At 43.6% G+C, this 18197-nt stretch overlaps 1 long non-coding RNA gene across 1 annotated transcript; it reads right to left on the minus strand.

The window, feature by feature from the left end:
* Positions 1 to 1454: 1454 nt before the first annotated feature.
* On the minus strand, positions 1455 to 2330 carry LOC124904997 (uncharacterized). The gene is made up of 2 exons (XR_007067818.1): positions 2257 to 2330; positions 1455 to 1724 (listed from the first exon to the last, which is right to left on the minus strand). It is a non-coding gene; the product is annotated as an uncharacterized LOC124904997 (long non-coding RNA).
* Positions 2331 to 18197: the final 15867 nt, after the last annotated feature.

The following is an 18197-nucleotide window of genomic DNA, read 5'->3' on the forward strand; positions in this document are numbered from 1 at the left end:
CTAATTATGTATTTTTCTAAATTATTATTCAGTTGCCTCAACTTTATTTAGTGAAAAGACCATCTTTGCTGCAGTAATTTGAGTACAACCATTAGAGTATATCAGATTTCCATTGGAGATGGATCTATTTCTTGATTCTCTATTCTATCCCATCCCATTGGCCTTTTCATACACTAATTCCACACTAATTTAGTTTTACAGGCTTTACAGTGTATTTTGATGAGGCAAAATCTAGTTTCTATTCAAAACATCTCCTTTTCTCCTATTTTTATTCTGAGTTTAATCAACAAAATTAAATACAGATATACTACATATATATAAATATTTATCTTTTTTCTGTTCTTATTTTTGTATTTATGGCTCACAGTGGCCTTTGTCTTTCCAAATGCTTCTTTGAGGATATTTAATTCACTTTGGAGTGTTGTGTTACAGATTTATTGTTTGTGTGCATGTATTTTTTAAATTGGGTAACAGCAAAAATGGTTTGCTTTACCTTAATTGTTTTAGGGTAGTTCCATTTGGGTGTGGTTTGTTTTTCCTCTTTGTATCCATTTTGCATGGATTTCAGTATGAACTTTTCTATTGGTTCTGCCCCCTGAATGCGCTGTTTTCTTATTGGACAATTGTGGAGAAGGATTAGTGCTTTTGTTTTGCTTTTGTCTCTGCAGGATACTCAGGTTTCACTTTTTTATTCTGTCCCTCAGGGCCTCCCTTCCCAGGGGTGCCCCTCTTTTCCTTATGTCTGACTCTCCCGTAGGTGAAACATGGGGCTTACCGCTTTTGGTCCTGCACATTTACAAGCCTCTTCCCTGCCTCCAGTCCCGTGAAGTATCTGTACCCTGCACCTCCTTCTGAGGTGAGATTGTCTGTGCTTTGTCTGAGTGCATCACTTCACTCTATTTTTTTTTTCATGGAATCTTGTGGCATTGGGTGGGCAGTGGGAGCTCCAGTGGAATTAAAGGTAATATGAAGATCACAGCCCTTGGTTTCTCAGTTATGTGGAGGGTGTGGATTACGAATATGGTTGCCCTTCTCGTGGATTTTATTATTTGTTCTTGGGAGGGATAGTGAAAATCAGGCTATTGCCACATTTTTTCCTGTTACAAATCCATAAGTTTGATTCACATTTACTTTTATTCTCAAGGTGACTTTATGATAATGATCAGAGGTTGTATGAGTGTTGAGGGAGCAGGAAGGGAAATTTGTGGACTATTACTGGGAAAGTTAACTCTCTGTAACCTCTTCCTCCGGCAGCACATGGATCTCACTCCCTAGGCTGGCTGGGGTGCAGTGTTGGAGTTTCACGCACATGCAGGGTCTTATACTCAAGATCCATAGAATCTAAGCACACAGCATTGCAAGGGGATCCCATGCTCCTGAACATGCTTTCTAGGTTCTTTCCAAGAAAGGACGCTAGTAACATCGTATTGGAACCTTTTCATATCTTTACAAACTTGTAGCAAATCAACCAAACTTTATTGGAAGGCCTATTGTTTCTGTACACATTCAAAGTAGTTCCTTAAAGTGTTTAGTGTTTTTTACCAGTTTATTTTCATGAATCTTTTTTTAAACACACGTCTTAAGGATCATACCGTGTTTTTTGATGCTGCAGTTTTCCGTCTATCTAATTAGAGGACTCTTTCCAATACTCTCCCTGGTTCTGCATTTCCTCAGCCGCCATGAGCACATTCTATTCTATGGTCATTGGATCGGCATTTTAAATCCTGTTTGGCAGAAAGAGAGTTTCATGTTTAGGTCCAAGATGTAATGGGTCTCTCTAAAGGACAGCATGACATTTCCTGCGTAAAACAACTAAAATCCAGAATTCACTTCCTGGTCAATATCGTGGGGACTACCTAAGCAGCATGTGAGCACACACACACACACACACACACACCACACACACAACAGAAAAGTGAGTGATAATCGATTTTAAGGACTAACTCTGGAGCCAGACTAACTGGGCTCTGATTACAGCTATGATTACAGCTCTGGTGGTAACTAGCTTTACGATCTTGGGCACATTATTTAACCTCTTGTCCCTCAGTTGCTTCATCTGTAAAACCGAGATAACAATTGCAATTATCTCATAAAATTATTGGAAGGAGTTAATGAATTAGTATCAGTAAAGTGATTGGAACAATTCCTGGCATATAATAAGCCCCACATATATGCTATATAAATGCTAGTTAAATGACTAGTTAAACACACAATGAAATGTAATAAAAGAAAATAAAATTAAAGATAATATATTACCAGTTGGGTAGATGGCAACAGAGAGAATGAAGACAGAGATGAATAATCAGAGATCTCTTCAACCTGGAGAGATATTCCATTATACGACATGGTGGCAACTTGAGTGGATTAATATGTATATGTGTGTATATATATATATATATATATATATATATATATATATATAATTCCCACATTTAAGAAAAAAAGGGATTAAAACAGAAATCTGTACCCATTCGAATTTTGCATAAAGAGAACCATGTTGAGAAGGAATTACTGTACTTTGGTGTGCTCATAAAATTACTATATATTTATAATGATTTTTAAAAATATGGACTTTAGATGACAATTTCTTAATATTGCACCTGTACAGAGACATTTGGAGAAACAAATTAAACCTTTATAGATAACCTTAAATATCTGAATATGTATAGAGTTGAATGATGGGACAATTGAGGGAAGGGGTAGACAGACATTAGGAAAAACAAATTAAACCTTTATAGATAACCTTAAATATCTGAATACATGTCTAGTTGAATGATGGGACAGTGGAGGAAAGGGTGTAGTGAGCATAGTTTGAATGATGGACAATGGAAGGAAGGGGTGTAGTGAGCATAGTCAGTTGGAATGATAGACAATGGAAGGAAGGGTGTAGTAAGCATAGTCAGTTTGAATGATGGACAATGATAGGAAGGCTGTAGCGAGCATAGTCAGTTTGAATGATAGACAATGGAAGGAAGGGTGTAGTGAGCATAGTCAGTTTGAATGATGGACAATGATAGGAAGGGTGTAGTGAGCATAGTCAGTTTGAATGATGGACAATGGAGGGAAGGGGTGTAGTGAGCATAGTTTGAATGATGGACAATGGAAGGAAGGGTGTAGTGAGCATAGTCAGTTTGGATGATGGACAATGGAAGGAAGGGTGTAGTGAGCATAGTCAGTTTGAATGATGGACAATGGAAGGAAGGGTGTAGTAAGCATAGTCAGTTTGCATTTGAAAGTGATGCTGAAGTCCTCGTCATTGGGATGCCAGGGGGTCTAGGTCACAGAACATACAGAAACGTTTGTGTGTAAGTGTTGTGTGCATTTGCACATTTTTCATGGGGAAAAGTCCATCTGATGATCAAAAAAGTGTGTGTCCCGGCAAAGGTGCAGAAATTATTATCATTTGATTTTCTGGTTAATAGTATGTTAAAGTATTTTAAAGACAATCGACTACTCATCATTTCAATAAGAGAAAATCTAAAAATTACCCATCTTGTATGAAACAAAGAGAAGAATCAGAGAAATTAAATATACACTTACTATTCCTTAAATGTTATTTTTCTTCCTTTTATTTCTCTTCTATATTCACTGTTGGGGCATTATATTGATTTTTGTTTTCTTTTTGTAATTTGGAAAGCAGCTATGTTCACTATTATATAAACAATGCTTGAGAGTTTTCTTATGTTGCTATTAAAGTTTGTGTTCAGGTAAATTACATTATCTAATGATTTCATTTCAAGGTAAAACACAAACAGTTTTATGTCTTAAAGAGGGCCTTGGTCTGATAGGAATGAGAACCACTCTGCCATGCCCTATGCGAACAATTCTAATTGGGTAAAATCTAATACTTTGCAAACTGTCCCAAGAGAGCTTACTGATTTTAGGGCAGAAGAAAAAGTTTCTATGTAGAACTCTATGTTTGAGAGGAGGAGAGGGGCTACAGCTAAGTATAGAGAAAAAACAACGTTCCATAATCAAGAAAGAAAAAGGTGGAATCTGAGTCTGTCTTTTTCGTCTTTACCGCTGTGTGTGTATGTTCTATACCATCATGTCTCATTTTTCTTTATGTCTTAAAGGGCAATGTGTGCACACAGCAGGCATATATGTGTTAATTGATTCATACTCCACACAATCCCCATTTCTCTTGTTCTTATCCCACCCACAATGGAGTTCAATAGAGCTAACAGTGGAAAAGATAATGAGTGGGTCTAAATTTAATCCCCTTTTGTTTAAGCTAATCTCCCTCTCTAATTAATGGCTGTTCATACCATTATTGCTCACGAATCTGGCGAAAGTTCTCTGCATCGGCGCAGGAAGCACTCTGTGAAATCATGTTGTCAAAGGGAACAGCATAGTCCAGTTCCCATTGCATCCTTGGTGACTTTTGGCCTAATGAAAAAGGTGTGTGGAACATGGAAACCAGAAGGAGCCCTCTGCTGTTAGTGCAGAGCTCCTGCTCCTGGGTTGCATTCTAGCTTTCGTCACACATTTTAAAATCCAAATGTAAGAATGATGTACCTTTGAAAAGACAGTGGGTTACAATGAGGGACTGAAGGAGTGGGCAGGGTCAAGTAGGGAGGGAAGAGAGAGAAGGCACAAGAGGAGCTGTGAGGAAATATCTCCCAGCCTCCACCCTCACCCTCCCTGAGCTTCCGCAGGGCTGAGGCTTCCTCTGCTGAGCTCGCGCCCTCACCCTCCCTGAGCTTCCGCTTCCGCAGAGCTGAGGCTTCCTCTGCTGAGCTTGTGCCCTCACCCTCTCCGAGCTTCCGCAGGGCTGAGGCTTTCTCTGCTGAGCTCGCGCCCTCGCCCTCCCTGAGCTTCGACAGGGCTGAGACTTCCTCTGCTGAGCTTGCGCCCTCACCCTCCCTGAGCTTCCGCTTCGGCAGGGCTGAGGCTTCCTCTGCTGAGCTTGCGCCCTCGCCCTACGTGAGCTTCCGCAGGGCTGAGGCTTCCTCTGCTAAGCTGGCGCCCTCGCCCTCCCTGACCTTCCGCTTCGGCAAGATTGAGGCTTCCTCTGCTCAGCTTGCGCCCTCCCCCTCCCGGAGTTTGGACAGGACTGACGCTTCCTCCGCTGAGCTTGCGCCCTCACCCTCCCTGAGCTTCCGCTTCCGCAGGGCTGAGGCTCCGTCTGCTGAGCTTGCACCCTCACCCTCCCTGAGCTTCCGCTTCCGCTTCCGCAGGACTGAGGCTTCCTCTGCTGAGCTTGTGCCTTCACCTTCCCTGAGCTTCCGCTTTGGCAGGGCTGAGGCTTCCTCTGGTGAGCTTGTGCCCTTACCCTCCGTGAGCTTCCGCAGGGCTGAGGGCTCCTCCGCGGGGCTGAGGGTTCCTCCGCTGAGCTTGCGCCTTCATCCTCCGTGAGCTTCCGCAGGGCTGAGAGTTCCTCTGCTGAGCTTGCGCCCTCACCCTCCCTGAGCTTCTGAAGGGCTGAGGCTTCCTCTGCTGAGCTCGCCCCCTCACCCTCCCTGAGCTTCCGCTTCCCCAGGGCTGCGGCTTCCTCTGCTGAGCTCGCACCCTCACCCTCCCTGAGCTTCCGCAGGGCTGAAGCCTCCTCTGCTGAGCTCGCGCCCTCACCCTCCCTGAGCTTCGGCGGGGCTGAGGCCACCTCTGCTGAGCTCGCGCCCTCATCCTCCCTGAGCTTCGGCGGGGCTGAGGCCTCCTCTGCTGAGCTCGCGCCCTCATCCTCCCTGAGCTTTGGCGGGGCTGAGGCTTCCTCTGCTGAGCTCGCGCCCTCACCCTCCCTGAGCTTCGGCGGGGCTGAGGGCCTCCTCTGCTGAGCTCGCGCCCTCACCCTCCCTGAGCTTCCGCAGGGTTGAGGCCTCCTCTGCTGAGCTCGCGCCCTCACCCTCCCTGAGCTTCGGGGGGGCTGAGGGCCTCTTCTGCTGAGCTCGCGCCCTCACCCTCCCTGAGCTTCCGCAGGGCTGAGGCTTCCTCTGCTGAGCTTGCGCACTTGGAGAAGCCCCCTCTGGGTGGTGATTTGTGTGCTGCAGTTCACTCCCACAGTTTGACACACACACGCACACACACACTCAAAGTCGGCAAAGGCACCAGCAGCAGTACATACATGCTTTCCTAATAGAATGCTGCTTTTAATAAACAGGCAACCTCTTACTCTTTTAGTTTTTGTGGACTTCATTGTTTAAAACTGTAAATAAACAAAGAACTCTGGATTCCTCATACATACTATTAAGTGTTAGTGTTTCCTTTACTGGAAGCCTTCAATGTATCAGAAACTGTGCAGGGTGATAGGGTACACAGAGGCCAAATCCAAGGCTACTGTCTTGCGGGAACTCTCAAGCCAGGTACTTAGAGACGGCTGTGTATTGCGGACCTCAGCCACGGAGGGCTGAATTTCACAGAAATCTTGGTATATATTTGTCACATGTGTTGCTTAATTAACATTTCCAAATAGTAATTTTAGTCACCTCTAGAATAATCTAATTATATGCACAGTCACGTGTCACTTAATGAAGGGAATACGTTCTGAGAAATGCATCCTTAGGTGATTTTGCCGTTGTGTGAACATCATAGAGTGCACTCATACAAACCCAGACGGCACAGCCTCCTCCACACCCGGGCCACATGGTACAGCCTGTTGCTCCCGGGATACACACCTGCCCAGCAGGGGACGCTACTGAACACTGCAGGCAGCTGGAACATAATGGTACGTATTTATGTATCTAAACATAATAAACAGAGAAAAGGTACAGTAAAAACATGGTATAAAAAGTGGAAAATGGTACACTTTTATAGGGCACTTACCACGAATGGAGCTAGCAGGACTGGAAGTTGCTGGGGTGAGTCTCTGAGTGAATGGCGAGTGGATGTGGAGGCCTGGGATGCTATTGTGCACCCCCTTATAAACACTAGACACTCATGCTACACTAAATTTATAAGAAATACTTTTTCTTCCTTCAATAATGATTAACCTTTGCTTACTGTAATGTCAAACTTTTTAATTACAAAAATGACTCGTAATTACACTTAGCTTAAAATGCAAACACATTGTACAGCTGTACAAAAATATTTTCTTTCTTTATATCTTTATTCTTTCAGCCTTTTTGTATTTAATTTTTTTTGACTCTGTAAACTAGCTCATCATAAACAAAGTCACAAACACCTACATTAGCCTAGGCCTACACAGGGTCGGGATCATCAATAGCACTGCCTTCCACCTCCACATCTTGTCCCACTGGAAGGTCTTCAGGGTGATAACATGCATGGACCTGTCACAGTGGATGTGAATATGCACCACTCATACTGTGGGTGAAAATGCTTTCCTAGGGCTATACACTAACCTTTACACTCAAATGCAGTAAGTTGTGTTAGCTGTATTGTTGAGCCCAGGGCTTGGGGACACGGTTACAAAGCACAGACACTTGTGGGTTTTGATCATATGCATCTGGAAAAATACAATCACTTATTTGGGTAGACAAGTATTATTTGTGTGTTTTCCTTTTATAAACACTTATCAAATGCCTACTCTTTGCTATTGTGTTGGTTTTGGTGATAGAAACCATATGGTCCCATCTTCAAAGAGTTTTCAGTCTAGGAGGGGAGGCAGCTTCACGAACAGTGATTGCCGCAGAATGTGGTCAGTGCATCGTCACGCATCCAGGCACAACCACGGCGTGATGCGGGGAGCGGGGAGCCATGAAGTCGGACAAAAGCATGGAAAGAAAGATCTTCGAAAAGGAGGGGGCCTGCAAAAGAACTGAAACATGAAGAGCCGTTGAAACAAAACTGACAGGCAATATGGTCAAGTTCCTGATGACCCAAATGATCACTCATTCAGGCAGTTTGGCTCACCAAGAACAGACCTGGGGGTGGCCTGGGAGCAGGTATCAGACTGCCACAGGTTAACATAGAGAAGCGAGGTGATGCTGGATGCAGTGGGTCACGCCTGTAATTCCAGCATGTTGGGAAGCCAAGGCAGGAGGATCACTTGAGGCCAGGAATTGCAGACCAGCCTGGGCAACACGGTGTGATGTCGTCACTCCAAAAAATAAATAAAAGATTAGCTGGATGTGGTGGTACGTGCCTGTGGTCCCACCTACTTGGGAGGCTGAGGTGGGAGGATCATTTCAGCCCAGGAGTCCCAGGCTGCAGTGAGCCATCATCACGCTACTGCACCCCAGCCTGGGCGGCAAAACAAGACCCCATACCTACAAAAAGAGAAAGAAAAAAGAGAAAAGTGAGGTCATGCAGTGCAGGGGCCTTCCTGCAATCCTAGATCTTGATGACTCCTGGTGCTTCTGTTGTCAGGACACTCATTAAAACTCACCCCATGAGCCTCTTTTTCTACCACCGTCACCCCCTGTGAGCTTCCTTTTATGCTACCATCTGCCACGATAAGCCTGTTTTTTCCACCATCACACCCATGAGCTTCTTGAGCTCAGGGACATGTCTCATTTGACTTGGCACCTATGTTTGCTATTACGATACTGTGTATTTATAAGGCACCACAATGTATGATTGTTACATCAATAAATGATCAGCAAACCTTGAAGATTTAATTGGGAAAAAAAATCAGCTTCTGTGGCAAGTCAAGAGCCCACAGGAGGCAGCTACTGGGGTCAGTGCTGTTGAGACTGCAAGGCCTGAGGAGCTGGAACCATGACAGATTGGAAACAGTACCTCCTCCTACCACAGGCTTTATTCACAAGTATAATTTATTTTTTCTGTGTAGGAGCTTGAGGGATTTCAGAGCATGATATCGAGTAAATGTATTTTACATGTTATTCCTTCCTTGGCATCATGGTTTGAGCCATTCAAATGTCTTCATAATCAAAAGCATAATAAATTATGACTAAAACGGTGTACCTGTGAAAACGTCCTTCGCACTCTCCCCAGTTGGAGGCTGTGCTTTTATGGTCGCAGACAGCAGGGTTGTTTGTGAGAACAGCAGGGCTCTGCAGCTGGAGCTGAGTCAGAAGACGCCTGGCCTGCACTGCGGAGGTGCGGAGACCACACAGGTCGGTGTGGCTCCATCGCAGCTAGAGGATTCTGGGACATAATATCCGCTCTGGACTGAATGTTTAAGTCCCTCCCAAATTCATGTTAAAACTCTAATCCCCAGGAAGACAGTATTAGGCGGCATGGCCTTTGGAAGGCGATTAGGCCAGGAAGGGCTTATTGCCCTTATAAAGGAGAGGGCTCCTGTCCCCTTCAGCCACAAGAGGCCACAGTGAGAAGGCACCATCCAGAAGCCAGGACAGTAGCCCTCACCAGATGCCAAATCTCCCCGCACCTTGACCTTGGACTCCTTCACCTCCACAACTGTGAGAAATAAATCCTTCATTGCTTATAAGCCACTCTGTCTATTGCATTCTGAGATAGAAATCCAAACAGACACAGACCATATTGGTCGTATAAAGTGGAATCCAGCTGGCCCCATTGTCTTGGTCCTGCAGGGGCAACCACATGCCTGCCTCAGAGGCATCCTCTTCTGAGACAAGGTAGCATAAATTGAGTCGGGAAGTGACCCACTCTTAGCTCCATCCTTTATTTCCTGGGTGATCTTGGAAAGCTGCATCTCTCTGGCCACTGGTTTCCTCTCCTGTAAAATGGGGATATTGGGAGTTCTTAGGGGATTAAGATATGCGACTGAAGCGGCTACATTGTCTGGGGTATATACCCTGGGGTTTCTTGTTGCGTGCCAGGAAAGTTTGGGACATGGACACACACGAGGAGCTTAGGAGTGGAGGTTTAAAAGGCAGAAGAGAAGAGAAAGAGAAAACAGCTCTCTCCAAAGAGAAAGGGGCCTTTGAGGGGACGGGTGGCTGATGCACCCAATTTTATCATCAGGTTTGAGGAGGCGGGGTCTGATTTCCTTAGGGCTCAGGGATTGGTTCCATCAGGTATGACATTTACATAGTGAGCGGGAAGGCTGGTCGCCCTACCCCAATCTTATTATGCAAATGGCCTTTCCAGTTGATCAGTGCCATTTTGTCTGCTCCTTACAGTACAAGTGGTTGACAAAGAGAAGGGAAGATGGAGCCCATCTTGAACATGTCTAGTCCCTAGTTCCTGCCAGTATTCACCATGCAAGCTCCCAGGTGGCTAGTCTATGTCTGCAGCTCAACTTTACAGGCTGCTCTTTGATAGAATATGATGTGGGGCTGCTTTTCATTGAAAACAAAGGCCTTACCAAGGACTCCCCTACCCTTTCTGTCTGCCTAAGTGATTTCTTCTTAACTCCTAGATCACTACGTAGCTAAAACAAATGATACCTGGAAACAGTTGACCAGTCGTTGTCATCTTTGGATGTCCCTACTAGAAATGCACAGCGCTCTGCCCACCATATGATCTTTGTAGTTGTTCCCACCGGGCCTGAACCTCTCTCCCCATCGCCAGCCTGCCCTGCTGTCTGCATGGCTGACTCTCATTCATTCCCTCTCAAGCACTGCTTCCCAGAGAGTTTCTCAGCCGCCCTACCAAATGTGCAGTCCCTATCACATTACCCTTTTTATTTTCTCCACCACACTTCCCACCATCTACAATTATCTTGACTGAGCATTTGCTGGCCTGTCCATTGTCTCTCTACTCGTAGTAGAATAAAAGGTGATTGAAGGCAACAAACAGCCCATCTGTCATCCTCACTGCCATATTTCCAAGCCCTAGAAAAGTACCCGAACAAATGAAGCACTCCATAAATGCTTTTTGAATGAGTAAGTAAATGAACCCAAATGCATTTTTCTTACTAATCCTTTGAATTATTTTTACACATTTCCAATTACTTATTTCTCTTTTTCTCTACTTCCAAAGAAACCGCAGTGGATACTGTGCACGACTCAGAAGCTCCAGGCAAGGATAATAAACATGCCACATCTGTATCTGTGGATGTTCCTTCAGCCTGGGCAGAAAAGATACAGTCAGGAAGATACAGAGAAAGAAACAACAGTCCATATGTGTTTAATATTTATCAGTGTAGCAAATTTCTCCAGTAGAAAAAGAAAAGACAAAGTTAGTTTAATTGGATCCAGTTTCTTTAAGTACCTTTATTTTCCCTTGAAGAAAATAAAGGAGGAGAAGGGACTTAGCCAAATAATGATTTAAATTTATTCTAGTATTTCTGAGGGTGCCAAGTCAGGAGGTTGCTGAGGTTTCTTTCTCTTTCCTTTGCTGAGGTAAATTTCCAGCTCAGGCATATGGACTGACGTGGAAAAGCAATCAGTTATAAAGAAAAAATACATTTGGGGTCTGTCTCTGTTGGAAACATAATTGAAAGCATGAGTGTTGTGTGGTTTCTCTCAAACTTCAAAAGTGTGCTCAGGCACATGAAGGGGAATGCCATCTGTTTGTTGTTAGGGTCATGTTTTACTTTCCTGCTTACACTTTCAATATAGTCAAAGAGCTCAGCTTTTTATAAAGAAAATTACTACTTAGGTTTACATTAGTGGCAAATTTACTCATTTTCCCTTTTCCATTAGAAGAATGTTGTTAGATAATAGATTAGAACAATTTGGCAATTAATCACAGTCACCCACTCTTAGAAATTGCTCATTGGCCAAAATAATTAGTACAAACACTACTTAGAAAAGAAATGATCCATCTTTTGTAAACCTAAGAACATGTTGGCACATTTGCAATGCTTGATAACAATAGCTTTTGTGCTGCAATGTACAGGAGGTGCCTTGAAATTTATAGGCTGTTGGCTACCAGCACCCATCATCCACCTCAGCACCTGCAGGAGCCCTGATGGTCAATAGGAAGGCATAGAGGGAAAAATACTGAGCTTCGGAACTTGAACCTCAGACTCAGGGGCATGTAGAAACTAGTCCAAAGTAACACTATTGCTTAGTGGCAGAATCGAGCCTGGAATCCAGTTTTCCTGATTCCTGGCTCAGTGACCCCACGGCTGCACGTGAGGGTCCTGTGGAGTTAGTGTCCTCCCGTGCTAAAGTGACACGGCTTGCGTTAATCCATAGAAACGTTCCATGCTGATCCCACAGACATGTATTGAAGGCAGACTATGTTCTAGGCTGTGTTAGCGAAGCCTCCATATAGTCACAGTATTCATTTCCTAGCTTAATTGTTGTTTGACTATTTTCAAGGTATGTCAGGCCTAACCTACTAATTCCTCATTATCTGCAATCTTATTTAAATACACTGTGTCAATTGAGTGTTTGTGATATGAGCATCAATTTTGAGATAACAGGGATACAAAAGAAGAAGGATCCCTGCCTCTAAAGAGCTCGCCAACTTATTATGTGGAAATAATGGACCGAATGCCACTGATGCAAACGCACCTTCCCTCTAGGACGTGGCTCCTTTTTTCCTTTTTTAGTTGTTCTTTCACCACGTCAGCTCTTCTTTCCTGGTCTGCTTTGAAGTCTTCTTCTCTCCTCTTCCCTCTGCTGGTTCCTTTAGCCCTGGGCTTCCCTGGGGCTCAGTCCAACGTTCCCTCTTCTATTCTCTCCCAGGGTCATCTCATCCAGTCGTACGGCTTCTATTATCATCCATAGCAGAAATTATGAACCCAGAGTCCATGGATAAACTTTTGGGCCTGTGAGTTCCTTGAAATTATATGCAAATTTGGTGTATATGGTCATAGCTTCTGCCAGCTTGGCAGAGGGGACCTAGACTCCACAGCTCTACTGAAGTGGGTGATGCCCAGGACTGCATGTTCCTGAGTGTCAGGGGCCAGCTCTGACTGGCCCTGGGCACCGTGGCTTGGAGATCTCACAGCTGCATGAAGCTTAAAGCAATCTTATCTAATTGCAGTTCCCCATCCCCTGCCCGCATCTCTACCTTCCGCTTTTGTGTCCCTGTCATAGTAAGTAGCATCATCACCAGGTTGTCCAACTAGAAACCAGGGACTTTCCAGACTCTTCTCTCTCCCTCATTCCATACAGCCATCTCATGTGCTATGGGCTCTTTCTCCAAAACCTCTCAAATCTATTCCCTCACCTCCATTTCCCCTGCCCGGCCCTCTCAGCTCTCCTCAGCCTTTACTGGACACAGCAGCCTCCTGGCTGGTCTTTCCTCAGTCTCACTCCCATCTCTTCTCTCTATGGAGGCAACTGAGCATGCGTTTTCTTTTTCCTTTCTTTCTTTCTTTCTTTCTTTCTTTCTTTCTTTCTTTCTTTTTTTTTTTGAAACAGAGTCTCGCTCTGTCACCAGGTTGGGATGCAGTGGTCTGATCTCGACTCCCTGCAATCTCTGACTTCCTGGTTCAAGTGATTCTCCTGCCCCAGCCTCCTGAGTAGCTGGGATTACAGGCACCCACCATCATGCCCAACTAATTTTTGTATTTTTAGTAGAGAAAGGGTTTCACCATATTGGCCAGGATGGTCTCAATCTCCTGACCTTGTGATCTGCCCACTTTGGCCTCCCAAAGTGCTGGGATTACAGGAATGAGACACCTCGCCCGGCCCCGAGTGTGCATTTTCTAACATAAAATCTGATCATATCAACTGGGCGCGGTGGCGGACGCCTGTAATCCCAGCACTTTCAGAGGCTGAGGTAGGCGGATCACTTGAGGTCAGGAGTTCAAGACCAGCCTGGCAAACATGGTGAAACCCTGTCTCTACTACAAATACAAAAATTAGCCAGACATGTTGGTGGGTGCCTGTAGTCCCAGCTACTCAGGAGACTGAGGCAGGAGAATCACTTGAACTCCGAAGCAGAGGTTGCAGTGAGCTGAGATTGTACCACTGCACTCCAGCCTGGGTGACATACCGAGACTCTGTCTCAAAAATAAATGAATAAATGAATAAATATCTGATCCCATCATTGCCTGGCTCAGAAGCCATTCCAGCGTACTCCAGAGATGAAAACCACAAGGATTGCATAGCCTTCCGTAAATTGTTTCACACTCTGTCCCCAAGATCGTGACACTCACTGTAACCTATCACTTAGCTTCTCAAACATGCCATACTCCCTCCCATATCATGTCCTTGAAATATGCTTCTCTCCTATGCTACCAACCTCCCCTTCCTCGTCCAGCCCTCCCCACAGCACCCCCAGCCCCCACTTCTTTCATTCATCAGCTAACTGCTCCTCATTCTTCAGTTTCTACTTCTCCCTGAGGGAAGATCTGATTTCCTCAAGGAGGGAAGATGTCCCTGCTGTTGGTTCCTCCATAGCAACTCCTCTTTTGTAATATCTGGAATTCACTACCTTGTGGTGATGTGGTTGTGCCTCTTCCTCCAACAAACATCCACGCACTGAGGGCAGGGCTCACATCTAGATGCTTGCTTTCGTATTCCTAGGATCTAGAATAAGGCTCAGTACTCAGTAGGTGCTGTGCAAATACTTAGTGAGGAGTCAAGAGCCCATGTGCATGGGACAGATAGTGAAGCACAGTTAGAGATTTGAAAGGAAGTCACACCGTTGGTTACAGCTGTCATCCAGCAAGTAGGGCTTAAGCTTGTTCAGAAAAACAGATAGGGTGTGGCTTAGGCAGGATAAGAAAGCATAAAAAACAAAAGATGGAAAAACATTTTGGGAAAAGTGAGCTAATTAAAGATATGATCAGTGAATAGAGGAGCCACAAGTTTTAAGCAAAGCAGACCATTTCCTACACATAAAATTAACAGTAGAAAAATTAAAAAATAATTTATTGCTCACATTTTTGGCTTTAAAGGCCATATAGTTAAGTTGTTGCAACTACTTCACTCTGCTTTTGTGTTGTGAAAGCAGCCACAGACAAACACATAATTGAATAGATGTGGCTGGGCTCTAAGAAAACTTTACTTCTAAAAACAGACATGGAGTCTGCCGTTTCTTTAGAAATTCTTTAATTCCTTGCTTTTACAGGCTAGGCATTAATAAGGTAGAGATGGCAGTTGTCTGGAAACTTTTTCTAAAAGCATTTATGAGTTATAATTTAATGGCAATGTTATCTCTATTAGTTGATCTATTATAATTTAATGGCAATGCTATCTCTATTAGTTGATCTGTGCTCTATCGGTTTGTCTATCTACTGAATACATACTCCATTTATTTCTAAAACTTGATTTGAGATGCTGTTATATAATGATTACAAATTGTACTATTGATATTTACAAATAATCATTAATTTACTCTGAATAGTCTTAAAAACTAGAAAATATCAATCTAAATGACAAATTTTCATCATTTTGGTCATTAAAATATACAGTAAGAGATTCCTTGATGAAACCCACCATAGACAAGGGAGAGGACAAGGACAGGCTTTGCTCTCGGCTAAGCAAATGGGAACATGGAATTTTTCCCACTGATGGTAAGACAGAGCCAGCAGAAGAGGCCAGAAGAGATGAGGTCCACAGTGCAAAAACATGGGCTTGAGAATGACATCAGCGACTGGCTCCAGACTTCAAATACAGGCAGGGGAAGAAAAAAACAGGCTTTTGGCTAACAGTTCAGCATCTATCCCAGCAAGAACACACACACAAAAAAAATTCTTCTAAAAGAGTAATACAAAATAGATAGGATCAGAGAAGACAGAGGGTGGAATGAGTTCGAACATGAGGAATTCACCAGTGGCCTGCTGAGGACCATGTGGATTTTAATGCCACTTCAGGAAAATAAAAATGAAATGTCCCACCATCTTAAAGGTTTGGGACTTCTAATAGAATAAGCATTTGATTAATGAAAAAACATGTACTATAAGGAACAAGGGATCATAAAAGGCTGGTTTTTAACAGCCTAAGTACTTTTTGCATCTTGAAGTCTTTTATCACCTTGTAAATCACCCCTGGAGAGAAATAACCGCAGTGACAAGGCAGACTTCCATTACCAGCCTGTCCACCTTGGCTCTAGATTCTCAAGTATATTGTCCTGGCTAGCACCCTGTGGTGTCGTGCCTTTATTATGGGGAAAGAAGGGCTGGGGCATTGTAGTGGACCTAGTTTTAGTAAATGTCTCTGGACAAATACGCCCCCTCCAAAGGCATTTTCCTTTCCTTCACTGTCTCTGTTCTGTTCTGCAGTCCAGCATGCCTCTGTGGGTGGAATTTAACAGCCAGGGTGTCAGCCTGCTAGGGCTCCGCATCTTGTGACTTACAATAACAAACGTTCTGTTCTCCCAGGTTGCTGTGCGGGCTGCCTGTGGTTGAGTTAGGACTCTTCCATGTGCCTTTCATATCCAGACCCAGATTGGAGAGCAGGCCCAGGGGCATGTTCCTCTCATGGCATGGAAGGCAAGCTGCACCTGATGAGCTCTTTGGGAGCCACTGGTTGGACACGGTGTACTGGAAGTCTGCTCATGTGTCATTGCCCAAAGCAAGTCAGAAGGCTAAGCTCAGAGTCAGTGAGGGAGGAGGTGCGTTCACCCATAGGTAATCTGAGTCAGGATGAGGAAGGCAGGATGAATTGGAGTCAGCCATTCCATTGACCACACCGAAGATTATGCTTGTAACTACAGAGCCTGAATACCTCATTGACAATCTCTCAGGTCAAAGTGAGCTGTTCTACTCCTGGAAGACATGTACTCACATGTGGTAAGTTTTACTAAAATGTCAGGAAAGAACCCCAACTTTAAAAATTTGAATCATTTAGATTTATAGCCTTCACCTCAAGCAAATTCTTGGTGAAATAGCTCTTGACTCTTGAGGTATAGTAAAGGAACTGTGCTCAGAAGCTTCTGCACATGGTCTCATGTAGTTCCCACAACAGCTGTGAAAGGTGGTCGTTACCCCATTTTCCATATGAAGGAACTAAAGTTTAGAGACCACGTTGTATAAAGGCCATCAAGCTAGGGAGTTGGAACTGGGATTTGAACCCAGGTCTGCCTGACTCTAAATGACTATGCTGTGTTAGAGGAATGTCTCAGGGCTTAGCATTAGTGAGAAACTGAAACCCAACATCGGCTTGTACATTTCAATCCCATGTTCACATCCTTTCATCACCAGTGCCACTTCAGAGACTGATCTTAGGGGAAATCTCTTTGATATTTACAAAAGCGTATTCATGTAAGGGTGCTCATGGTGGTGCTATTTGTAATGGAGAAAAATTTGAAATTATATAAAAGATTAAACCTAAGGATGCAATAAGTAATTTGATATATCTGTTAGGCAACTTTAGACTTGTTATTTATACAAATATTTGATGTCATTGGAAGTGATCACAGTACAAAGGAGAGACTCTAAAGCAGTGTGCACAGTATGACCTCACACTGGTAGAAAGAATACTCCAATATTAATAGAGAACAATTCTGTATAATATGCTTTTAGGTAACCCACTCCCATGCATACCAAAAGTTTATCAAGTTACATATATATGTAAAATATTGTACAGAAATAATATATATTTGTTAATATATACGTGTGTAATGTATTTATGTAAATATATATATATTTATTTATTTATTTATAAGTACAGGCTAAGACTTTGCCCTCTCACCAACCCACACACCCCCAAAACCAGCCTTTCAGCCAAACTCAAGCTGATAAAAATTTCATTGATCTGAGCCCTTGCGGCAAACTAACCTTTAGCAAAAATGCCTTCTCTAGGCTCCAATTTGAGATCCAGGGAAAACAGGTTTGGAAGAGTTAACGATCTTGGGGAAATTACCATTGCTGTAGAATGAAGATTATTACTTGTTCTTTCTTCATAGGCTAGACACACTATTTTTTAAAGCTAGTTGTTTATACTGTTTATAAAGAAATAAATATTCCTCATAGGAAATTTAGAAAACAAAAGTTTTTAATGATAAAAAGAATATATGATCTCATCCCATCTCTTAGACAATAACACTTTTTAATCTTTTTTAAGACAAGATGTAGCTCTGTTGCCCAGGCTAGAGTGCACTGGCATTATCATAGCTCACTGTAACCTCCAACTTTTGGGCTCAAGCAATCCTCCCTCCTCAGCCTCCCAAGTCACTAGGACTGCAGGTGCACACCACTGTACCAGGCTAAATTTTTTATTTTTTATTTCTTGTAGAGACGAGGGCTTACTATTACTATGTTGCCCAGGCTGGTCTTGAACTCCTGCATAAGGGATTCTTCCACCTCAGCCTCACAAATTGCTGGGGTTACAGGCATGAGCCACTGTGACCTGCCTCTAACATCTGAATTGACATCCTGCATGTAGAGATATGCACATATAGATGACAGCTGTACACCCATGCATATCTATATCCATGCATGCATGCACATGCTTTATCAGGCCTTCCACTCCTTAACAGCCTACAGATAGAAAACTTAGAGGAGCAGCAGGGACGTACTTTCATGTACTAAGCTACCTAGCATACAACTTTTAATGGTTTTTGAT

The sequence above is a fragment of the Homo sapiens genome, chromosome 21 (assembly GCF_000001405.40).
Source record: "Homo sapiens chromosome 21, GRCh38.p14 Primary Assembly".
NCBI lineage: Eukaryota > Metazoa > Chordata > Mammalia > Primates > Hominidae > Homo > Homo sapiens.